This window comes from Homo sapiens, chromosome 5 (genome assembly GCF_000001405.40).
Source record: "Homo sapiens chromosome 5, GRCh38.p14 Primary Assembly".
NCBI classification, from domain to species: domain Eukaryota; kingdom Metazoa; phylum Chordata; class Mammalia; order Primates; family Hominidae; genus Homo; species Homo sapiens.
Window position 1 is genome coordinate 138,911,026 of NC_000005.10, and position 25,067 is coordinate 138,936,092.

General features: G+C 44.9%; 1 protein-coding gene across 37 annotated transcripts in view; it reads left to right on the top strand.

Moving 5' to 3' along the window:
* CTNNA1 (catenin alpha 1) overlaps positions 1-24,009 on the top strand; it is a 181,610-nt gene extending 157,601 nt beyond the window's left edge. For 30 of the 37 annotated variants that reach the window (NM_001323982.2, NM_001323984.2, NM_001903.5 and 27 more), the window contains 8 exons: positions 6,717-6,873; positions 13,485-13,685; positions 14,231-14,382; positions 18,221-18,331; positions 19,448-19,629; positions 19,805-19,910; positions 21,553-21,687; positions 22,777-24,009. In NM_001323982.2, coding sequence (NP_001310911.1) covers positions 6,717-6,873; positions 13,485-13,685; positions 14,231-14,382; positions 18,221-18,331; positions 19,448-19,629; positions 19,805-19,910; positions 21,553-21,687; positions 22,777-23,064 — 1,332 coding nt within the window. In that variant the 3' untranslated portion in view covers positions 23,065-24,009. Of the gene's footprint in view, positions 1-6,716; positions 6,874-13,484; positions 13,686-14,230; positions 14,383-18,220; positions 18,332-19,447; positions 19,630-19,804; positions 19,911-21,552; positions 21,688-21,862; positions 21,934-22,776 lie in introns of all 37 variants that reach the window. The other 7 variants (NM_001290307.3, NM_001324005.1, NM_001324003.1 and 4 more) reach the window with 3 other exon arrangements.

A 25,067-nucleotide genomic window follows, 5' to 3' on the forward strand; every position in this document is an offset into this window, starting at 1 on the left:
CCCAGGAATTCTAGAACAGCCTGAGCAACATAGTGAGACCCTGTATCTATAAAAATAAAAAATTTGCCAGGCATGGTGGTGCAAGGCTACAGTCCTGGCTACATGGAAGGCCGAGGTGGGAGGATTGCTTGAATCCAGAGGTCGAGGGTATAGTGAGCCATGATTGTGCCCCTGCACTCCAGCCTGGGTGACAGAGTGAGACCCTGTCTCAAAAACAAAAAACCAAGATCTCTCTGACTTCTGTGAAGAGGGAAAGAAGCAGAGAGGCTCTTTAGGAAATTGCAGTACACAGAATAATGGCCTCCCAAACATGTCAATTTCCTAATTCCCTAAGCCCAGGAATGTATCACCTCACATGGCAAAGGGGACTCTGCAGGGATGAATAAATTAAGGATCTTTAGATGGAAAGATTATCCTAGATTATCCCAGTGGACCCCCCCCCAATATAATCATAAGTGTCCTTATATGAGGGAGGCAGGGGCATCAGAGGCAGAGAAGAAAATACAGTGATGGAAGCAGAGGCTGGCCACAAGTCAAGTAATGTGGGCAGCCTCAGGAATTTGGAGAAGTTAAGGGCTGGCTTTTTCACTAGAACCTCCAGAAGGAACACAGATTTGATGATAATGTTGTTGATTTTAGCTCTGTAAGACCCATTTCAGAATTCTGATGTCCAGAAACTGTAAGATAATAGATTTGTGTTGTTTTAAGCCACTACATTTGTGGTAATTTATTACAGAAGCAATAGTAGACTAAAACAGATGGTATTGTACTAATCCAGGCAAGAGTACAGTGGATATGGTGAGCACTGGTTAGAGTCTGGATATATTTTGAAGGTGAACTTTACTGAAGGATTAGATGTGAGGTGAGAGAGAAAAAGAGTCAGGGAATATAACACAGTTTGGAGCCTAAGCAGCTGGAAGGACGGAGTTCCCATTTATTTTGGTAAGGAAAGATGGTTTGGGGAAAGAGATAAGTTTTGGACATGTTATTTTTGAGGTGCCTATTAGACATGCAAGATGCATGTCATGTTGAGGGCAGAGGTCTGAACAGGATGTGTAAATGTGAGACATCACCAAGGGAGTGAGTCTACGTGAAGGAAAGATCTGGGAGTGGAACTGGGGTCCCTAACATTGAGAGTTTCAGGAGGTGAGCAGTGGCCAGCACAGGAGCCTGAGGAAGCACTGTCAGGACCAGAGCCCCGGAAGCTGACTGTGTCTTAGAAGCCAAGTGAAAGAAAAAAAAGCGGGGGAGTTTCTAGGAAAAGATTAGATGAGATTGCCCAGGGGTGGGAAGAGTAGAAAGAGGAGAGAAGGCAGCATAGGACTGAGCTTTGAGGAAATCCCAACACCTTAGAAGAAGATGAGAGAGCAAAGGAGACAAAGACAAAATAGCCAGAATGATGGAAACAAAACGGAAATAGTGTTTGAGAAAATCCAACATCCATTCCTGATAGAACACTTTACAAACTAGGAAAAGGAGGGAACTTCCTTAGCCTGATAAAGAATCTCCATGAACAGTTGATAGCTAACATTATACTTAATGGTAAAAACTGAATGCTTTCCCTGTATGATCAGAAATAGGACAAGGACGTCCACCCTTGCCACCCTTATGTCACACTGTACTGGGGCTCAAGCCAACAACAGCATTTTAAAAGTTACGATCAGTACAGTGATCGTGCCTAGTTGGGGGCTCCTTGCAAATTTAATAGTAACATGAATTTCCATTTTTAAAATTATATAAGTAAGAGTAAACTCCCCCCAACCAATAGCTGTTTTCTCATCATTTACACTTTACCTTAAGTAAGTGGTCCATTCCTGTCCCTGTTTTTCTACTGCTGTTTTGGTGTTTTCCTTATTGATTTACCTAATACTGTATATTTAATCTGTAATATATATTTAAATACAGACATACATAATTGAATTTATAGGTTGACGTCTCCCATTGTTATTTTGAAATAGAGTTTTCTAAGACATAAATATTGTGACTAATGGTGACTTAGTATATATGGCGACTTAGTATATAACTGAAGTGACTTTTTTTTTTTTAACTTTCGTTCAGTTTTTTTTTGTTTGTTTTTGTTTTTTAACTTTCATTCAGTTTCGTTGAAACTGTTCGTTTCTTTACAGATTTAACCTTTACATATTTCGTTTGAAATGCTTTGTGAGAGATCTGACCCTCCCTTCATTTTGTATTCTGTTTTTTTTCCTGGCATATAGAAAGGCTGTTGGTTTTTACTATTTTATATTGTCTTTAGTTACATTAATGAACTTTTATTCTAAGAGTTTTTTCAGGCCAGGTGCTGTGGCTCACATCACTCACTAATCCCAGCACCTTGACCACCTGAGGTTGGGAGTTCCAGACCAGCCTGACCAATATGGTGAAACCTCATCTCTACTAAAAATACAAAAATTAGCCAGGTGTGGTGGCACACACCTGTAATCCCAGCTACTCAGGAGGCTGAAGTGGGAGAATCACTTGAACCCGGGAGGCGGAGGTTGCAGTGAGCTGAGATTATGCCACTGCACTCCAGCCTGGGCGATAGAGGGAGACCCTGTCTCAAAAAAAAAAAAAAAATTCAGTTGATGTACTTCAATTTTCTGTGTAATTTGCATTGGAGTATGTGATTTTTCTCATTTTTCTAACAGTTTTTCCTATTATTTTCATTTCTCACCTTATTTCTTTGGCTAGAAAGTCCATTATATTATTATTTAACCAATGGTGACAGTAAGTATTCCAATTAATAACATCTTGATTTTTTAAGGTAAATGATTTTATAGTTTCACAGCTCAGTGTCATGTTGGATGATTAAAGTAGCATGTTAAGGACATATCTATATATTTTTTTAAAGACAGGGTCTCATGGTTACTCAGGCTGGAGTGCAGTGGCATGATCATGGCTTACTGCAGCCTTGGCATCCTGGGTTTAGGCAATCCCCCCACCTCGGCCTCCCAGAGTGCTGGGATTACAGGCGTGAGCCACTGTGCTCAGCCAGGACACCTCTTTCTATTCCAAATTTAGTAAGAGTAATCAGAAATGAGTATTTAATATTATCAGCTGTCTTTTGTACACAATTTTGTAATCAAAATGAGAAAACTAACCTTAGGCAAGGTGCTTCCCCTCATTATACTGTATGCGATATATTACAAAGAAAGCATTTTTCCCTTTGTAGTGAAAAATAAGTAAAACGTGTGATTAATTCCCTGCCCATGTTTACTTGGCTCTCTTCGGAAACATTTTCACTAGCCAAATATTCTTACAGTGTATAGCTCCACTCTGATACATGGATACATTATTGAATTAATGAGTTAATTAATGAAGAAAGTGGTCTTACAATGGTGAACACATGTAGTGGATAAGGAATGACAGGAAGGAATAAGTCTTTTGGATGAAAGTGTGGGAGACCACAGCATAACGTGAGAAAAACAAGGATCTCTTCTTCCAAATTATTGCCTAAACCCAGGCACTTATGGAAGTGTTGGGCTATTAATAGTTCATAAACTGGGATGGCTTAGTTCCCTGTGCCTGTGAATCTATAATTGACAGTCTGATAATCTACCAGTTCTAAGTATTAAGGAGGGAAGAGGAATAGCGGCACCAATCTAGTGGGCCTGAGTCGTCTTTAGTCTGTTTTCACCTCCAGCCTTTGGAGGGCTAAGTTACAACATTCTTGAATACCCCTCCAATAAATTGGGAATTACACCCATGATCCAAAGCATCTGAAAAATCACCCCAGACTCCTCCACTCAGGGCTGCCCCCACACTCCTGCCTCATCCAGGTCCAGCAGTTTCCTCTTGTCTTTGCTTCCTTCCCAAGTTGCATGATTATAAACACATTTACTGGGCCGGGCGCAGTGGCTCCTGCCTGTAATCCCAGCACTTTGGGAGGCCGAGGCGGGTGGATCACAAGGTCAGGAGATCGAGACCATCCTGGCTAACACGATAAAACCCCATCTCTACCAAAAATACAAAAAACTAGCCAGATGTGGTGGCGGGCGCCTGTAGTCCCAGTTATTCGGGAGGCTGAGGCAGAAGAATCACTTCAACCTGGGAGGTGGAGGTTGCAGTGAGCTGACATTGCGCCACTGCACTCCAGCCTGGGCAACAGAGGGACACTCTGTCTCTAAAATAAAATAAAATAAAATAAATACATTTACTTCTAATAACCCATAAGCACCTTGTACCTAGGAATCCTACTAATTATCCTCTCAGCGCATTTTCATACTACTCTCATTATTCACTTATTCAATGAATACAGCCGAAGGATCTGAATAGACATCTCTTCAAAGAATATAAACAAATGGACAATAAACATATGAACGGTACCTGACATCATCAGCTATCAGGATGGTGGTCACTTCAGATCCACTAGCATGGCTAGAATTAACCAAAAAGGGGGAAAATAACAAGTGTTAGGGAAGATGTAGGGCACTGTAACCCTCATACACACTGGTGGGATGTAAAATGGTACAGCCACTTTAGAAAAAGGTAAAGCAGCTTCTCAAAAGTTTAAGCACAAAGTTTACTATATTTCCCAGCAGTTCTACTCCGTTCCCAGAGAAGTAAAAACACAGAAACGTGTATGAGCGTTCATAGCAACATGATTCATAATAGTCAAAGAGTGGCAATAATTCAAATGTTCATTAACTGATGAATGGCTAAGTAAAATGTGGCATGGTAATATAACAGAATCTTATTCATCAACAAAAGGGAACAAAGTACTGGTACATGCTACACATGAGTGAACTTTGAAAACATTATGTTAGGCCAGGAGCAGTGGCTCATGCCTGTAATCCGAGCACTTTGGGAGGTGGTCAGGAGTTCAAGACCAGTGTGGCCAGCATGGTGAAAACCCGTCTCTACTAAAAATACAAAAATTAGCCTGGCGTGGTGGCACACACCTGTAATCCCAGCTACTTGGGAGGCTAAGACACAAGAATCGCTTGAGCCTGGGAGAGGGAGGTTGCAGTGAGCTGAGATCGCGCCACTGCTCTCCAGCCTGGGCGACAGAGAAAGACTCAGTCTCAAAAAGAAACACACACACACACTAAGTGAAAAAAGCAAGTTACAAAAGTCCACATGTTACATGATTCCATTTATCTGAAATATCCAGAATAGACAAATCCATAGAGATAGAAAGCAAATTAGTGGTTGCAAAAAAAAAAAAAAGAAGGGGCTAAGGAGAGTTAATGGGAAATGGCTGCTAATGGATATGGATGGGGTTTCTTTTTGGAGTGATGAAAATGTTCTAAAACTGAATGTGGTGAATGTTGAACAACTGCAAATATACTTTAAAAAACCAATGACATTGTGTCCTTTAAATGGGTGAATTGTAGATAGGTGAATTTTATCTCAATAAAGCTGTTTTTTGTCTTTTTTTTTTTTTTTGGAGACAAGAGTCGTCCTGTTTGTCCAGGCTGGTCTCGAACTCCTGGGCTCAAGCAGTCCTCCTGCCTCAGCCTCCCAAAGTGCTGGGATTACGAGCTCGAGCCACCACGCCCAGCTTGTTTGTCTTTTTGAGGTGGAGTCTCACTGTGTTGCCCAAGCTGGAGTGCAGTGGTGTGATCACAGCTCACTGCACCCTTGACCTCCTGGGCTCAAGCAGTGTTCCCACTTTGGCCTCTCAAGTAGCTGGGACTACAGGTGTGTGCCACCATGCCCAGCTCATTTTCTTTATTGTTTATAGAGATGGGGTCTCACTATGTTATCCAGGCTTTAAAATTAATATTTATTTATTTTTATTTATTATTTTATTTATTTTTTTTTTGAGACAACAAGTTTCACTCTTGTTGCCCAGGCTGGAGTGCAGTGGCATGATCTCAGCTCATCACAGCCTCCACCTCCTGGGTTCAAGTGATTCTCCTGCCTCAGCCTCCTGAGTAGCTGGAATTACAGGCGTGTGCCACCACACCCGGCCAATTTTGTATTTTTAGTAGAGACGGGGTTTCACCATGTTGGTCAGGCTGGTCTCGAACTCCAGACCTCAGGTGATTTGACCGCCTTGGCCTCCCAAGTGTTGGGATTACAGGCGTGAGCCACCACACCTGGCCTAAAATTATTTTTAAACCTTAATAGATTATACATTTTTTGAGCAGTTTTTTGTTTGTCAAATATGACTCCATTAAAAAGAAAATGAAAAATACTTATGCTTAGATGCAATGTATTTTTCATGAATACATTTTGATAATGTATCGAGAACCTGAAATGCCACATTTTTATCACAAGATATTTGTAGTGATGGATAACCAGAACAACCCAGACATCCTACAATAGGAGAATAACAGTGTGTCCATAACATAGAATATATACTTAGTGTTTTAAACATATATTTAATGATATGGAGAAGCATTTAAAGTAAGAATCAGTATAGTCCATTTTAAGTGGCATATAATTCTAATTGTGTATTTTTTGATGTGGCTATATATGTGTCTATATGAGGAGAAAAAAGTCTAGAATTTAGTGTCACTGAAAATGGTAGGCTTGCCACCATGAATGAAGCTAGTACAGTTTTTATTTGTTTTATCATTGTCTATAGTTTGCAAATAAAATATGTATTAATTCAACTTCACCATATAAAACTTACTGTTTTACACTCTTCCCCTTCATCTTTGTGATAGTTAGGATAGAGCATGTGGTGTGATGTCTCCTAGTGAAATGCATGTAAGACAAAGCCATGACTCTGAAAAAGAGTAAACAGTGAAGTTTAATATCTTTTGCAGGTTATTAATGCTGCACTGGCTTTAGCAGCAAAACCACAGAGTAAACTGGCCCAAGAGAACATGGATCTTTTTAAAGAACAATGGGAAAAACAAGTCCGTGTTCTCACAGATGCTGTCGATGACATTACTTCCATTGATGACTTCTTGGCTGTCTCAGGTAATGAGCTGGTTCCCCAGAGAAGTATGTGAAGATGTTCATAATTACTTTTGTCTAAGTTGTATTAATGGGCAAACACTGCTATGTCTTGGCAGGTAAATTATTCTAACAATAATATTGTGCTGGTTTTCATTTTAATGTTAAAAAAGCTATCAGCTACAGGGTTTTCAAGTGACAGCTTCTCAGCTACTAGGAAGTAGCTGGGGTTGGAGATGTTTCCCTTGATAGGGCTGGTCTGAATCCTAGGAGCATGAATTAGAAACCTGGCTGGCAAAGGCTTATCCCTGCTTGTATAGAGTGAGGTCTTTCAACTGGGACCGGTAGAACACCAGGACCATCCATCCCTCTTGCTGCCATTGTGTTTAGAAAAAACATTGATCTGTGTCTTGGTGGAGACTGTGGTTATTTGTTATCAGCCTATGAAACTTAGGAGAAGAAGGGATTCTCAACACCATCACCTTTAGTTTCTTTTTTAAAATAATTTCTTCCCTTCTTGGAAAGCCTCTCTTCTGTCTCTCAGAAATGATCATAGTCATAGTTTATCTGCCTACTTTTCCAAAGACTTTCTGTCTGCATGATGCACAGATAGAAAACAGAGAGGAAATATTTAAGTGCCATTTAATTATGAACTTGAAAAAATAAATCTGGGTAATTCACCTCACAAAAACAGTTGATTTCATTATATAAACATAAACTGGTAATGACTTAGTAAATTGCATTCATATAGAAAATATCTGTCAAATGCAATTCAGTGTTTATCACACAGAGATAAATTTCAATCCCATCTTCTTAGAGTTGAGTAACTATAAATGCATTCTCCATTTAACGGGACCTCTGTTGCCCTTGGCTGCATGGCTTGCTCTCTGAAAGTGCCAGACTTCCTGAGGCCAGTGGCTGTGGGCAGAATCAGTGGCTAAGTTTTTGTAGGGCTGAAACTACCTGTCACCCCAGGGAACCACGGGCTAGAACGTGGCAGTAGGGCTTGAAACAGAAGCGGGGCTTAAGTACATGCACAGCACAGTCCTCCAGCAGTGACCTATATAAGGGTGACTGTGTGTTCTGCATACCAATGCCTCCCTGTCTTCACACTCTCTCCTTAGGATGGGTAGCCTTGGCTTAACTTGAGAAACTGGGGAGCAAGCCATCTGTAAACTGCAAAAAGTAGGGGGTAAACCATGTTGCTGCAGGACTGCCAAATTGCAGGTGTTGGTACTTTAAAACAAAAATCTCATTTGCAAGCACATCTTTGCAGGTGCCAGAAATGCAGCAATGGCTTTTTTGGGAAATCTTGGCCTTCTGTTGTTTTTCCCAATGAAGTACTGAATTATTCTTTTTCATTGGTTTAGAGAAAAACATTCCACCTTCACAGCACACTTTTAAGCAAACAACAAATTCTGAAATCTAAATGCAAAGCCCCCCTCCGGATAAATACTACATTCTTAAAGTTACTTTTTTGAGATTAGGTTGGGTATGTCTCAGGCTTGGTCTCAAGGGATTTTCAGTCCTCCTTACAGCCAAATAAAATGTAACAGCATCAGATGTCCCTCATGCACCATTCGTCAAATCAGTGAAGAAAAGGGATTCTGCAGCAGCATTTAGTGGATTCTAGGCAATATCTTTAGGGCATATGACATAAAAGAATGGAAAAGAGAAATCAAATTCTTTTAACAGATACACTGTTGTCTGGTGAGTGTGTTCAGTTTTTATGCAAATGTATGAGAGTATAAGAGGGATTGATTTGATGGAAAGGAGTTTAGACAGTTTCTATTTAGCAAATAAAATCATGGAACAATTCTTTCAGTCAAAGGTGGTGGTGTTTTCAGAGCATCTGAATTTTAGAAGTCTACCTGGTGTGTTTTTCTGATGTTCTGTCACAGCCCTGCTTAGGAATGTTACGTAATTAAATCATTAATAGGGCAAGGCCTTTCTTCATAACTCCTCTGATTTATGTAATATGCGGAGACAAGCAGATGCCTGTGCAGGTTTCTACTGGGATGACCAGTTAATTTTCAGCATTCAGACTCCTTTATGTTCTTACGTACATCCCTTACCCATGGTAGCTTTGGCAATTTTTTTTTTTTTTTTTTTTTTTTTTGAGACGGAGCTTTGCTCTTGTTGCCTAGGCTGGAGTGCAATGGTGGGATCTCGGCTCACTGCAACCTCTGCCTCTCAGTAGTTCAAGCAATTCTCCTGCCTCAGCCTCCCGAGTAGCTGGGATTACAGGTGCTTGCCACCATGCCTGGCTAATTTTTTGTATTTTTAGGAGAGACAAGGTTTCACCATGTTGGCCAGGCTTGTCTCAAACTCCTGACCTCAGGTGATCCACCCGCTTCAGCCTCCCAAAGTGCTAGGATTACAGGCATGAGCCACCGTGCCCGGTCTAGGTGTCACACTTTTTATTTCGGGGGACTAGAGATATTTCCCCATCGCTCCTGACACACAGCCTAGGCAGGTGTCATCTGCAGCAGTCACGGGCAGTATTTAGATGGGAAGCCACATCTTGGCCCTGACGTGGCCCTGCCACATTTGCCAGTGTCCCCTGGCCCTAAAGCATAGCGGTGCTTTGGTGGACCCATAGTGAGATGGGCTTGTTTTTGAGTAGGGGCTGCCTGGCAAGTGCCCAGCACAGGATCTGGCTTTTGAGGTAGGTGGGCTTCATAGCTTTTACTAAATGAACAGCAGGGATGCACCCTGACTTCTTGGAGTGGTTGTTTTCTACTGTCTCCTGGGGCTTGAGGCCCTTTGGTACAGAGTGAGAGGTTTTATGTAGTATTTGCATTTGTGATTTTCCACCATCAAATTCTCTTACACTCCATGGGGCCTGGATATTGGCTATAGCACTGTCCAGTCACTGAGAACCTGTCCAAGAGGAAATCGTTTATGGAGTAGGGCTTCAGCTCCTTTGTTCTGGATATTCTGCCCCATTGGCTCCAGAAATTCCCTCATACTTAGAACAAGTCATGTCCTGATTTGTGGCTCAAAAAGTAATGGTCATCTTGTGTATAACCTGGTGCAGCCACCAAGACCCCGATGCCAGCATTTTATGAGGCTGTAGGGCGGGGGGAACTTTGATCATTGTCAAATATGTGACAGTCGCACTTGCATAGAAAAAGAGGAATATGCATGATAACCTCCAGGGAGGAGGGGTAGGGTCTCCTCACCCCCAAGCTATTCTATCCCAAATGCTGCCTTGTAAATATTGGAGATGGTTTAAGATGCTGGCATTCAGCAGACCAAGAATATATTTATATTGACCAATCCCTTAAGGAGAGTGGTTTGAAATTCATCAAAGTGATAAAGACTCTTTGAATTTCACTTGGATTGTATTTGATAAACGTTTTCCACGGAAATGTTATTGATTTCCATTCTCTGTGCTTACATGTTGCAGTTTTGGCTCCCTTTTTTTTGAAGATGCAAGTGGTTGCTTAGAGAAGCTCTAATTGGGTTTATTAAATTTTTTACTAAATGCTCTTAGAAACAATATATATGCATTAAATGCTTTGGAGCAACACTTGGAGTGGTAATTTGTACTTTCCTTCATTAAGTGTCAGTGTCCAAAGAATTTGGTCTGATTGGGAGGTCATTAAATACCTAATTATTATTGTACCTAAATGTTGGTTTTGTGTTTAATAGCAGAAATGCTAAACTATAGACAGTTTCTCTCTTTGGAGGAAGTGGTGAAGTTAGATTAGTGGTGATTTTTTTTTTTTTTTTTTTTTTTGAGATGGAGTCTTGCTCTGTCACCAGGCTGGAATGCAGTGGCATGATCTCGGCTCACTGCAGTCTCTGCCTCCCAGGTTCAAGCGATTCTCCTGCCTGAGCCTCCTGAGTAGCTGGGATTACAGGTGCCTGTCACCACACCCACCTAATTTCTGTATTTTTAGTAGAGACGGGGTTTCACCATGTTGGCCAGGATGGTCCCGATCTCCTGACCTCGTGATCTGCCCGCCCTCAGCCTTCCAAAGTGCTGGGATTACAGGCATGAGCCACCATGTAATCAAAAATCACCCGGCCGGTGATTTTTTTTTTTTTAAGCCTACTATATAGTTTACATGGCAAGCCATCAGAATAGTTCATGTCACAGGGTAAATCCTCTACATAAAGTATGAAACATTGTTTTCATTTTCTTTGTGTGCAGCAGCCCTGCATACGCTGCATGCCATAAAGATACCCAGGGCAGAGGGTACAAAGAAGAGGCTCTATTGCTACACGTTGTAGACTGACATTCTGACATCTTTTATGGAGAATGCCAGTTGGCATGGTTCCTGGGGGGCAATTAGGTACCATACTTCTACTTTAAACATATATGCTTTTTAACTCGTGATCTAACTGCTAGACATTTTCTCTAGGGGAGTGTCACAAATATTTGCCAAAATACCTGTATAAGGATGTTTTCTTCAACCAGAATGTCTAAGGAAAGACTGAATAAGTGAATTATAGCCCCTCCATCTATTCAGTAGGGTACTATGCAGCCATTAAAATGGATGAGGTAGATCTGTAGGGCCAGACCTAGAAAGGTTTTCAAGTGAAAAAGATACAATAGTGTCCATAATATAATTCCTTTTATATTCATTTACATATAGTTGTCTGTATTTTGTATGGACTGTTATATGTATGTGTATGAATTTTTTTCTATTAGAAGCACACCTATAAATAATGTATTGAACAGTTGTTCATGGGTACAGATTGTTGTGTCTACTCATAGTGGACCTATGCTGTTTCCTTAGCTAAAATGATGTATGGTTTCAGTTAAGTGTGGGCAGAGCCTGTCCCCCTCTGTTGAACAGTGGACTCGCACCTCCCCCCATCAGGTTCAGTTGTGGAGAGCAGGCTGGGTGCTCTGTCCTGGGTGTGTGGTAGCCTCAGCGAGGCTGGGGCTTTCCTAGAGACAAGTGTTTCATGAGGGTAGAGAATATTACTTTGGTCAGCTTCCTGAAGTGGGGAATATTACTCTAAAAAATGGCACACTCTTTCCTGGTTTAGGTTCATCTAGAAGGCGGCCAGGATGAATTCAAGAAAGTCTAAATGGATTAAAAAAAAAAAAAACCGTAGAAGTATCTAGACAAAGGTTAAAAAATCCTTGGTGGAAGTTTGGGTCACTTTTGAACGGAAAGGAATGCCATACTTCATTGATTCTGAAATAGGGATGAGTCTTAAAATCAATGATATGAGAAAACACTGGTTCTTAGTTTTGCTATCAACATGATTTCTTTCAATTGTATTCCTTTCCTTTCCTTAGCAATGCAAGTTTCATCTTAACGGTATTGTGTTAGATCCAGTAAAGCAGCAGTTTTTAACCCAAGACCTCGTATGGTAGTCCTGCTCAGTACATTTGTTTAGCTTGAATTATTAGAGTTTATATATTTTAAAAATGCTTGTGATGGGCTCCAAATCCATTTATTCTTGTAATTGGTTTAAATATCCCTCTTAAAATGTGTTTATGTTAGAAGTTTAATATGTTTACTCTTTTCATTAGTTCAGTGGTATAAACCCTGGCAAGTCTCATAATTTGTAATTAATAGAGACCAAAATATGGTCTTAACTATATTGCAGTAATCTAGTTTTCCCTTCTCTAATAAGAATTCTTACTGTTTCCTGGCCTTCCCTGGAAAGGTGTTTTTTGTTTGTTTTGGCTTTTGTTTTTGAGACAGAGTCTCACTCTGTTGCCCAGGCTGGAATGCAGTGGCGCGATCTTGGCTCACTGCAACCTCTGCCTCCTGGGTTCAAGCCATCCTCCCGCCTCAGCCTCTAGATCTGTATCATCCACTTTAATGGCTGCATAGTTCCCATAATTCATTTATCCACCCTTCTCTTGGAGATTTTGGTTGCTTTCACGTTGTTACTACAGATGAGTTCGAGCAAACCCTTTGTGGTGGGGTTCCTAAAAATTTATAGTGTCAGGCTTTTTGCTTTGAGGAAAAATAGTTTTGGTGTGTTGCCCAAATTCAGCTGTATGACTGTTAGGAGCCACCCATCAGCTTCATAGGAGTCAGGGGTTTTCACCTCTAGGGACCCTTCAAATATCACAATAAGCCCATCTGTGTACCATGAAGAGGGTTATTAAATAGTTCATCTCACACCTCAGGGTCCTCTAGAGGAGGCTTCAACCTGCTTTCCAGCACCTTCTCCTATCCCAGGGCTGTACTGGCTTCTTGGTAGATTGTCTGAATATCATCAGCATCTCCTGGAAGGAGAGGGAGAGGGGACAGTGGACTTTTGTTCTAATTTAGCCTTTCCTTTATTTGGGACATAGAGTCAGTGAAGCTAGAGGAAGATAAGTTATTGATGCTTCTATGATAATTTTCTGCCAGAAAATTACAGAACAGCTGTGTCTCAAAGATGGGCATGTCTCCTGTTTTTTTTGTGTGTGTTTTTTATTTTTTGTTTTTTTTTTTTTAAAAACCTGGAATGAAGATTGTTATTCTTGGGGGTGATAACAGGTTTAGTTTCTGTCTCTGTCACTAGTCACTGGTCTCTCCAATGAAGTATATGTAAAACTTTCAGCACTGTGGCTGGCACCAAGCAAACAATAAATGATAGATGCCAGCTTACAGTTGCCACCTTTTCATAGAAAGCCTCCTTCCTCATTCAACTTTTTGCTTGTTCTCCAGAGAATCACATTTTGGAAGATGTGAACAAATGTGTCATTGCTCTCCAAGAGAAGGATGTGGATGGCCTGGACCGCACAGCTGGTGCAATTCGAGGCCGGGCAGCCCGGGTCATTCACGTAGTCACCTCAGAGATGGACAACTATGAGCCAGGAGTCTACACAGAGAAGGTTCTGGAAGCCACTAAGCTGCTCTCCAACACAGGTACGGGAACTCTCCCTTTCCAGTGCTCGCACACACCGCAGCCTCAGTGAGGCAGGCCACCCCATTAGCCCAGCCCTGTGGTGAGGAAGGAGGAGTTGGGAACTCAGATTTGGTCTCATGGCACATCGGGCTCCTGAGAAGCTGGTCATAGCCAAATTCAGGCCTCACAAGCATATTTTCTTCATCTGTATCTCATGAGTAATCACGGGACTAATTCTAAACACACGATTTAAGATGAATTTCTGAGTTAAATCTCCTATTAGTGAGTAAAGACTAAATTAAGGTAGGTCCCATTCTTAAGCAAGGCTTCAAGTTAGTCTCACTTCAAGTTCTCAACCATCCAATCTCTGTTGCAGAGAAAAAGATGATTTGAGTCGTAAAATACTGCATTTAATTTATTTCAACTGTAAATACCCTTCACACAGGTAGAAGCAGAGGCTCATCATAAGCCTCACCTCTTTCTGTCTAGCTGAGTGATTCAGGGAGGGCCAGGGGAATGATGCTGCCTGCTGACCAGGGTATCTACTGTGCCTCTTTCTCCACAGTCATGCCACGTTTTACTGAGCAAGTAGAAGCAGCCGTGGAAGCCCTCAGCTCGGACCCTGCCCAGCCCATGGATGAGAATGAGTTTATCGATGCTTCCCGCCTGGTATATGATGGCATCCGGGACATCAGGAAAGCAGTGCTGATGATAAGGGTGAGTAACTGCATTTCAGACGTCTTAACAGCTTCTTTCTTATCATTTGCTAAACTTGAGCAATGCGTCATTCTAGAACTCGGCAGATGCGGTGGCAGTATATTAAAACCATGAATCTAAAAGCTGTTAGAATGAGATATATTTAATTACGTTGTCTAAAATGACTGTTAGTTGCAAGTTAGAGCCCAAACTTGGGCCAAGAAGGGGAGCTAGCCTGAGTTGACGATTTAATTTAGGATAAACAGTCTCTACAACATGAGGCTTCAGTTTGAGTTAGGCAGGAAATTATAGAAAATAATGGTTCTCAAGCTAGTATCAGAGAAGGAAGTATTTTCATAATGCGGATTCAAGTTATTGTTCACATGAAGTGCCCCTCTCTTCGGAGGGGCTGCAGGCAGACGGGATGATGGAACCCCAGGGTGTTGGGGGGAGGAGCGGCCCCAGGTGATGCTCCTAGGCTCATGGCCAAGTGCCGAGCCCCTTTCCCCATAGCCAGAGTGCCTGGAGGGCCTCTGTCGCAGGGGCAGAGGAGAAAGGGGCCTCTATGGCATCTGTGATTGAGCTCCCGGCATACCGTCCTGCTCTCTGACAACTATTCCTGTCTTCATTCAAGAATCATCCAGCCCCTGGGCCTCTCAGTTTCTTGATGTCTTGTCCTCCTCCACCTCAACCTCACGGCCATAGCTGTACCTCAGCTTTTGTCACTGCCTGCCATTGTCTTTGTCATCCCCAGCAGCCTAGATCTATTGTTCAGGTTGCGCCCTCGAGTCCTGCAACTCCCAGCGAGCCTTTGAGTCTACTGTGGGGTCTTCAGTCAGTTGGTCCTCCCCATGTGTCACTCAGCCCCTTGTGTCCTTGGTTCAGTCCTTTGTTAGCTTTGAGTCCATAGTTGAATATACTCACTCCTCTGCCCTGCTGTTTCCTCACACCTGCCTTGCAAGGTGCAGTCCTGGCAAGATCCTGCTCTCCTGAGCACAGTGCAGATGGCCACAGCCACGCTGATGGAGCCGCAGAAGCCGCGGCCATTTGTGCGCCCTTGCTGCCCTGCAACAGGCGTCCACCCACCCACCCACACCTGTGCCCCTGTCCTGTTTGGCCCACTTGCCGATTTCGTTGAGGATACTGAGGCAGTTAGTGCGTCCACCCCTCTGCATCCCATGTCTGTGTGCTCTACCTTCCTCCTAGCACCATGGGCATTGCTCTCGGTGCTTCTGGCCAAGGCCATCCCTTGCACGTCTTTGTACTAGGATCCCAGCTTCTTCACCCCCTGCCTCCTGTACCTTTCCCCAAGCCTATGATGATTTCTCCCATTTTTAGGGGGAAAAAAAAAGTCTCTTGACCCACACCCCTTCTCAGTCTCCTTGGCTGGTTTCTCCCCATCTCCTCAGCCTGTGAAACACGGGTGTGGCCTGCTGGGAAGTCCTTGACCTCTTCAGAGTCCTGTCTAGAGGCCGACTCTCCTAAGTTCCACACCTGTCTGCGCACCTTGCCTCCTCCCTCTCACTTGCTCCACCCAGGCAGCACATGTTAGTTGATAGTGACTCCGTCTTCCCTTGCTCGGGCCCAGACCTCGAATCTTTTATTTCCCTTTTGTCCCATACCTCACATCTGCTTTATCTGTGAATTCTTTTGGCTCTCCGTTCACAGTAGAGAACCTGAACATGTTCTCACCCTCGTCTAAGCCACCAGCACCTCTCACCCGGGTTCATGCAGGTGCCACTCAGCTGGTTCCCTGTTCCCATCCTGGGTGCCTACAGTCTCATGAGCCACAGGGCAGCCAGAGCGATTTCTGTAAGCTTCAATCAGATCATGTTATCCTCTGTGCCAGCGTCTCCACAGGCCGCCACGTCACTCATTCTTTATGCTGGCCTACGAGGCCTTCTGGGACTGGAACCTGTCACTTCTCCAACCTTATTTCCTGCTGATCTCCTCTTGTACTCATGGGGTTCCAGGCAAGCCGGTGACATGGGGGCAGTGAGCTAAGCCCCCCTTCTGTGGCCTCCTTGCTATTCACGCAGTTCCCTGGGCCAATGCCCCTTCCCCACGGCCTCTATGCTGCCACCCGCCCCCCCTTCCCCCTCCTTGAGAGCACCTTCTCGTGAGACTTTTCCAAACACCCATATAGAATTAAAATCTCCCTTTATTCATCACTGCTTTCTTCATAGCACTGGTCACTTTTGATGTGTCATATAATTCATTTGCTTACTTTGTTGTCATTTCTTCCATTAGAATATGCGAGAGGAATTTTTGTCTGTTTGTCACTTTGTATCTTTAGGGCCCAGAACAGTGCTTGGCAGAGAGATAATGAATGAATGAATGAATGAATGAATGAATGAATGAGAGTACTCGGTTTTCTTGGCAAGAACGGTTCTTGGGTCTGCGATGGGGTGCTGGGGAGGTAGAGATGATGTTAGGAGGTGGTCCTTTGAAAAGCCCCTTAACTGATTGATTGCATGCCAGTCCCGAAGGCATGTGTGACTGCAGCGTTAAAACTGTCAGTGCTGGCATTGTGTTTTGTGCCACCGAGTCCATCGGCCTCCAGGACCTCACACCGACATGCTGTCTGGTCCCCTGCGTGAGCGTCCACTGTTCTCACCTCATCAAGGGACAGGCCCAGCCTTTGCACAGCACGTTCTTGGTGGTTCCAGAATGTTTCTTGCATATCTTCTTGTTTGAACCTCACTGCAAGTCCTTGGGCTGGGCTTGGACTATGTCCTGGTACACAGACGAGAGACTCGCCTCACTGCCCTCCTGTCACAGGCCAGCCGGCTGGGCTGAGCGCCAACCCCAGCTGTTCTGCCTGCTGCCCCCTTACTGATAACTGCCAGAGGACAACATTATGTTTCAAGTCAGTAGCTAATCATGAGAGGCTGGTAGTTGGTACAAAATAAGAATTTTATTTCATAATTAAAGCAAAGAGCTAGGACCAGTAATCAGTCCCTTGGGTATTTACTCAGCCCTCACCTGCCATATTCTCCCCTCTTTTCTTTTGATGAAAGTCAAAAGAATACTTTAAAATACATTGCCTATTTTTACTCCTCCAAGCAGCCTTGGTACCCTAACAGAAGGCCCAGTTATTTAATTTTCTTTTTGTCATAAAGTAGGAAAGTTATACAAATCCGCTTAATACTATACAAAACACCTCTATTTTTAAGTCAGTACCTTTTCTACCCAGGACAGTTCTCATCTTTGTCTTAAAATGCCGGTGTTGGGGAAGTAAATTAGGAAGTAAAAACCTTATGTCACTGGGCACAAGTGGCTCACGCCTGTAATCTCAGCACTTTGGGAGGCCAGGGCAGGCAGATCACCTGAGGTCAGGAGTTCAAGACCAGCCTGACCAACATGGTGAAACCCCGTCTCTACTAAAAATACAAAAATTAGCCGGGCATGGTGGCATGTTGCCTCTAATCCCAGCCACTTGGGAGGCTGAGGCAGGTGAATCTCTTGAACCCGGGAGGCGGAGGTTGCATTGATTCCAAGATCACGCCACTGCACTCCAGCCTGGGTGACAGAGCGAGACTCTGTCTCAAAGGAAAAAAAAAAACAATCATGTCTTACAAAGAAATAGTGAATTGACTCAGTGATAGCAATTGAGCCCCACACACAGTGAAACCAGCCCAGGCCTGCTGTGGGCCAGGCAGCCCAGCGTGTGCACCAGTGAAGCAGAGGCTCGAGACAAATGCTGAGTGATTTTGACTTTATTCACCATACTGTTCAGAACACTGCACATTAAAATCCAGAATTCTGGGCCTCCGTGCACCTGGCCAAGAGGCTCAGGGTGGCTGGGGGCTGGTGGCCCAGAGATGTGTCTGACCTGTGATCTTTGTCTGGGTGGCAGACCCCTGAGGAGTTGGATGACTCTGACTTTGAGACAGAAGATTTTGATGTCAGAAGCAGGACGAGCGTCCAGACAGAAGACGATCAGCTGATAGCTGGCCAGAGTGCCCGGGTAAGGAAGCGCTCCGTGGGGCAGTTCAGCTTGTGCTGCCGACTTTCCCTGTCCCCTTTCTTGTTTCCAGGAAAACACCCTCAGTATTCAGAACACCGTTTCTCTCTCTCTGTCTCTCTGGCAGTAGACTGAAGTTAAACTAAGTTGTGGCACCTGCTAGTCAAATGTAGCCTCCTCAGCTAGAGGCAGACCAGGTCCTGGGCCTCCTCTGCAGTGCCCTGAGCTTTAGTTTATGATAGAGCCCTGGGTCAGGGAAGGGCTAAGATTTAGTCAATGCAGTGTTTGTTGAAAGGATCGTGAAATTTGAAAAAGATTGCTGCCTTTGTCCATCTCGATACTATGGGTATGAACTATTTAATTATTCATGGGTTTAAAAAATAACAGTGGTACATTCAAGAAAGCCAGTCAGAGCCATTGCATTCATTTGAGTCATTAAATCTTCAATCAATAGCATTTATGTTTTGGGGAGGATGCCAAGAAATATTTCTAAGGAGTCTTTGATTTCACTCCTTGGAAATCTGTCGTGAACAGCGAGCACATCCCTGCCTTATGTCCTGCTCAGTCATGAGCACTTAGGGAAGCTGAGAGGGAGGAGCTCCCCAGCCGTAGGTCTGTGGGCTGGAGGTGGGCAGCAGGCCTCCAGGTGTTGCTCAAGTATGGCCTGAGTGCCAGCGGTATCTCTCAGCCCTCTTTCTTCAGGTGTACATTCTAAAGCCACTTTCAGTTCATCTTGAATAGTTGGAAATGTCCATCAGGGCCCACCAGGGAAAGGGCTCCACACTTTCATCAACCCCTTCTCTCATTTCTTGTCTTATATTAATAAGAATTAAGCAGGTTCTGTCCCTGCACAGGTGTGATTCCAAAGCTTCCACATTAGCCTTCCACCCCTCGCTGTTTCCTTCCACACTAAAACTTGTGCTCAAAAGTGGGTCGGAAATTCAGGCTGCCATAAGTTTCTGCAAAAAATGAGAGAAATAGCCCTTCAGGCGAAATGAAACCTATTAAAGCATTATCCTACCTATGCCACAGATTGCCTGTTGGAAATATTCTTGGCTAATGCACTCTGAGAACTTCATATTCTTTTTATGTAAGAGCTCTTTGTGCTTCTGATCACAGGCGATCATGGCTCAGCTTCCCCAGGAGCAAAAAGCGAAGATTGCGGAACAGGTGGCCAGCTTCCAGGAAGAAAAGAGCAAGCTGGATGCTGAAGTGTCCAAATGGGACGACAGTGGCAATGACATCATTGTGCTGGCCAAGCAGATGTGCATGATTATGATGGAGATGACAGACTTTACCCGGTGAGCAGCACCCCGGCCCCACCAGGCTGCACAGGGGCTACTTTCTTCCCCACAGGTCACCTGCGCAGCGGCTCAGACAGCCCAGGCCATGGGGCTTTGTGGACAATCTTCTTTTTCTACTCCAACTGTGAGGGGCTTCACATACAATAATCCTTGTTCTCTTCCCTCTTCTCAGAGGTAAAGGACCACTCAAAAATACATCGGATGTCATCAGTGCTGCCAAGAAAATTGCTGAGGCAGGATCCAGGATGGACAAGCTTGGCCGCACCATTGCAGACCATGTAAGTGACAGACTTGCCAGGTGGGTCTCCAAGCTCCTCCTGGGGCTCAGGCAGCCCAGCCTGGTCCATTCAGGGTAAGTTTCATGGGCCACAGCACTTTTGCCACTCATCTCTAAAAATGGTTCTTATTAATCCCAGCATAGATTTGTAAGGATTCTCTAGAGCGGATGTGTATGTCCTGGAATCTTCCATCGCTTGGTAGCCAAAATTAACCTCTGCTATTGTCTCTTATGTCTCAGTTCCCTCTCTCCCCCTCTGGGCAGGGGCCGAGAGCAGCCAGAAGCCATGTGGCCAGTGCTGTGGAAGGCTGGTGTGCCTAGATGGGCCCAGGTTTCTTCATCCTCAGCACTGTGTTTCTCAGCCACCCCGTCTTCATCCCCCTATTCCCTCACACTGATAGGTACAAAAATACGGTTCCTACCGCCTGGAAATTGTACAATACATTTCATTTGGTGTTTTAAGCCTGATCAAGAGAAGCTCTTTCTCAGTTACAGTTTTTCTCTGTAGTTAACAAGCCTCCCCACCATTTTCCCTGAAATAGCCAAACTCTCAGCCTCATCTAGGCCACAGGATGTGTGAGACACAAGCCTCCTTACACAAGCCAAAGATTGTAAAGGCATCCTTGACTCCCACACAATCGGTAATAGGGCCTATTGCTTCCATTGGCCAAATGTATCTTGACACAAACCAGTCTTGTCCTTTCTGCAGATCTCCATAGCCACTTGGACTACTGTGGCCGCTCCCGATTTCCTGTTCTTTCCTCTCTCCACTTCCTTCTGCATCCAGCTGTCAATACTGTCATCTGAAAATGCAGATCACATGGCTCTGCCCTGCTTCCATGACTACTTAGAATACAGCTCATCTCCAGTATGGTCTGCGGGGTCTCAGTTCATACCACTCTCTGTGGTGTACTTTGCTCCAGCCTCACTGGAAGAAAATGTTTGCTTGCTATAAACACTTGAGAGGTGCTCTGTGTTTCTCCCTTTGGGTAAAGCTTTCTAGGCTGGTCCTAATCTGGGAGCCTCTAAAACTCTGAGATGTGGAGCGAGACAGGAACTGGGCAGGGGCCACCCTTTTCTCTTTGACCATCCCCAACTGCTTTTTTTCTTGCTTTACTTTACTCACTTGTCTTCCACCTCAGCCTGCAGTGAGTGGCTTTTGTCATCAGGCATTAATAACGCAAAGTGCCTCAGAGCAGAAGAGTTAACTATTTGTTTACTTAGCTAAAAACATCTGGACTTTTCTCCATAGCCAGGCTCCTGCTTGCTGAGCCGGCTTGTTCTCACCTCGAGGGGCATGGGCCTCCACCCTGCCGTTTGGGGTGAGGGGATCCTTGGCCAGGGTGGTTTCCCCGCCGTCATAGGAGGGAAGTCAGTGGGAGGCTCAGAAGGCCTTGGCTATACAACCAGTGCCATGCGGCGCAGTCAGGGTCCCATGGACGACTTCCATCAGCTCACCCGCCTCCATCCCCAAGCAGAGTGTAGGCAAGGGCTGTGACTGCCTCAGGTAATTGGGTGATTTTGCTCCAGCAAGAGGAGAGGAAGCATGTGAGTGCCACACTGAACCTTTCAGAAACAGCCGTGGGGTCGGGGGTGCTTGGGCCAGGCCAGGATACTTGGTGTTAAGCCTGCTCTCTCTTCAGTGCCCCGACTCGGCTTGCAAGCAGGACCTGCTGGCCTACCTGCAACGCATCGCCCTCTACTGCCACCAGCTGAACATCTGCAGCAAGGTCAAGGCCGAGGTGCAGAATCTCGGCGGGGAGCTTGTTGTCTCTGGGGTAAGCATTAGCTGAACAAAAAGAGGGCCAGTGGGAACGTGCTGACCCTTGTCAGAAATGAAAGTCACCTCCTATCCGCATAAACACCTGCCCTGGGAAAGTGTGCTGTGCAGAAACTCCAAGTCCTGTCCCAGTCTCTGGAGACCAAGGTCTGTCCATCATCTGTTCCCTGTAGAACTGTGACACCTGCGGGGCACTGCAAGGGCTGAAAGGCTGGCCTCCTCCCCTTTGCTGGCCACTCACTGGGTAGGAATTTTTAAAAATCTTCCTTGGGACCGGGCGTGGTGGCAGGTACCTGTAAGTCCCAGCTACTTGGGAGGCTGAGACACAATAATTACTTGAGCCTGGGAGATGGAGGTTGCAGTGAGCCGAGATGGCACCACTGCACTCCCGTCTGGGCAACAGAACAAGACTGTCTCAAAACAAAACGAAACAACAAAACAAAACAAAACTTCCTTTTCTTCCCCCAGAGAGGAATTAAGAGTAGACATAGATAGGGTGTTTTCTCAAAAGCCCTTCACTCCTCAGAGTGCTTGGGTAGCGTCTCTTTCTTTTTACCACATCACAGTTCTGAGGCCTTTCTCACCTAGGGCAGGGGAAAGAAGAGGTTTGCTGAGTGGATTGGGGTCCACCGAGCCTCCATGGCTTCTCTTAATCCCACTGAATTTCCTTTAAAAGAAACACTTCTTATATTGAACATATTGAGACCATTTGCTCATCTGCTTTGCCATAAACATCCCTGTCTCGATTCCTGCTTCTCCTCCCCCACGTGCTTACAGCTCTGGGATCACTTACAGTGACTTCCAGTTGGTTTGAGTGAATAAACACTTGCTGAGGGGTGGGGGTGAGCAAGGCGAGGTTGCCTCATGTCTTCTCCAAAGGGTCTGAGGGCAGGCGCTTCCAGGCTATTTAGATAAGAGCAGCCGTTGAGGGTGTTCTTCAGGAACAGGCTGCTGCCCAATCCTCTGCGACCTGCCCAGGCCCTGGTCTTGCAGAGGAGTAGGGGGCTCCCCTTCAAGCACAGCCCACCTGTGTCCACGAGGCTGGAGGTCAGGCCGGTGCTTCTTACCACCCCTGTCTGCCTCGTAGGTGGACAGCGCCATGTCCCTGATCCAGGCAGCCAAGAACTTGATGAATGCTGTGGTGCAGACAGTGAAGGCATCCTACGTCGCCTCTACCAAATACCAAAAGTCACAGGGTATGGCTTCCCTCAACCTTCCTGCTGTGTCATGGAAGATGAAGGCACCAGAGAAAAAGCCATTGGTGAAGAGAGAGAAACAGGATGAGACACAGACCAAGATTAAACGGGCATCTCAGAAGAAGCACGTGAACCCGGTGCAGGCCCTCAGCGAGTTCAAAGCTATGGACAGCATCTAAGTCTGCCCAGGCCGGCCGCCCCCACCCCTCGGGGCTCCTGAATATCAGTCACTGTTCGTCACTCAAATGAATTTGCTAAATACAACACTGATACTAGATTCCACAGGGAAATGGGCAGACTGAACCAGTCCAGGTGGTGAATTTTCCAAGAACATAGTTTAAGTTGATTAAAAATGCTTTTAGAATGCAGGAGCCTACTTCTAGCTGTATTTTTTGTATGCTTAAATAAAAATAAAAATTCATAACCAAAGAGAATCCCACATTAGCTTGTTAGTAATGCTCTGACCAAGCCGAGATGCCCATTCTCTTAGTGATGGCGGCGTTAGGGTTTGAGAGAAGGGAATTTGGCTCAACTTCAGTTGAGAGGGTGCAGTCCAGACAGCTTGACTGCTTTTAAATGACCAAAGATGACCTGTGGTAAGCAACCTGGGCATCTTAGGAAGCAGTCCCTGGAGAAGGCATGTTCCCAGAAAGGTCTCTGGAGGGACAAACTCACTCAGTAAAACATAATGTATCATGAAGAAAACTGATTCTCTATGACATGAAATGAAAATTTTAATGCATTGTTATAATTACTAATGTACGCTGCTGCAGGACATTAATAAAGTTGCTTTTTTAGGCTACAGTGTCTCGATGCCATAATCAGAACACACTTTTTTTCCTCTTTCTCCCAGCTTCAAATGCAAATTCATCATTGGGCTCACTTCTAATAACTGCAGTGTTTCCCGCCTTGGGCTTGCAGCAGAAAAACCTGACAACATAGTGTTTGCTAAGGCAGTAATTTAGACTTTACCTTATTTGTGATTACTGTAGTGATTGATTGATTGATTACTATTAACTACAAGGTATAATTTACTATCACCTTATTTAAATTTTATGAATTAATTTGAATGTTTTTTACACTAACTAACTTTTCCCAATAAAGTCCACTATGAAACCACGACATCCAAGAGCCCAAAGTCGTCTTCTCTGCCTTCAAGTCATAGATTTGCCCGCAGTATCTGTGGTGCTCTGGGCCCTCCCGGTGTCCGTCTCTTCCAGGATGGGGATGCCCGGGAGGGAAACTGTCTGTGGCTCTAGGCTGCACGGCTCGTGCCAACCCATCAGGGAGGGCCATGCCCGTTGTCCTATTGAGTGCCCCACCCTGCACCCCCACCTTGGGAATTCACATGTCCATTCCTTGAGGTTCATGTCAACCTCGGAGGCATCCCTGTCTTCATTATAGCTGACCCCTCTCCTGCGTCCTTCTGTCAGCATATCCCTTCTGCATCCTTCCCGTCACACATACATACCAAGCTATGATGATTGATTGATAGTGGCCTTCGAGATGAAAACCATCCTTAACCCCATGATCCTTCCCAGCTGGCATCCCCACCCTAAGCAAGGTTCCCTAAAGAGAAGCTTGTTGACATTTTCTCCCCTTCCTCACTTACAGTCAGCTGTCACCTTGCTCCCTCCACCTCCCCTCGTCAAGGTGACTGCCTTCCACTGCCAGCCACACTGGCAATTGTCTTGAGACCTCACTGTGCAAGCGGCCTGGGGGCGTGGCGGGGAGGAGGAGGAGGACAAGGACTCCTGAACGCTGCTCACTCGGCTTCCAGGACACCCCGCTCAGGTTCTGCCTGCCTTACTGGGGGCTCCTTCTCCTTTCCTGGGGCTGAGAGGTTGTGTCTGTGCCCACTCTCCTGAGCTCAGCCAGAATCTCGCATGTAAAGACATCCAAATGCCGACTTCTTCTCCCCAGAGCCTGGCTTTTATAACTGACTGCCGCCTCACGCTCCATTCGGATGTCTAATGAATCTCTCAGACTTGACCTGTCCAAACTGCTTGCCACCTCTACTCGCCACCGCCCACCCCCACACCCTCCATACCGTTTTCCCCACGTCACTGCCCCTCCCCCCCTTCCTCTTGCCAAATGCCTAAAAATAAAAATTCTGAGGTGGATCTGTAGCACAATGGGCTTCTAGTGACAAATCAAAATTCTGATCTTTAAAATGTATGCA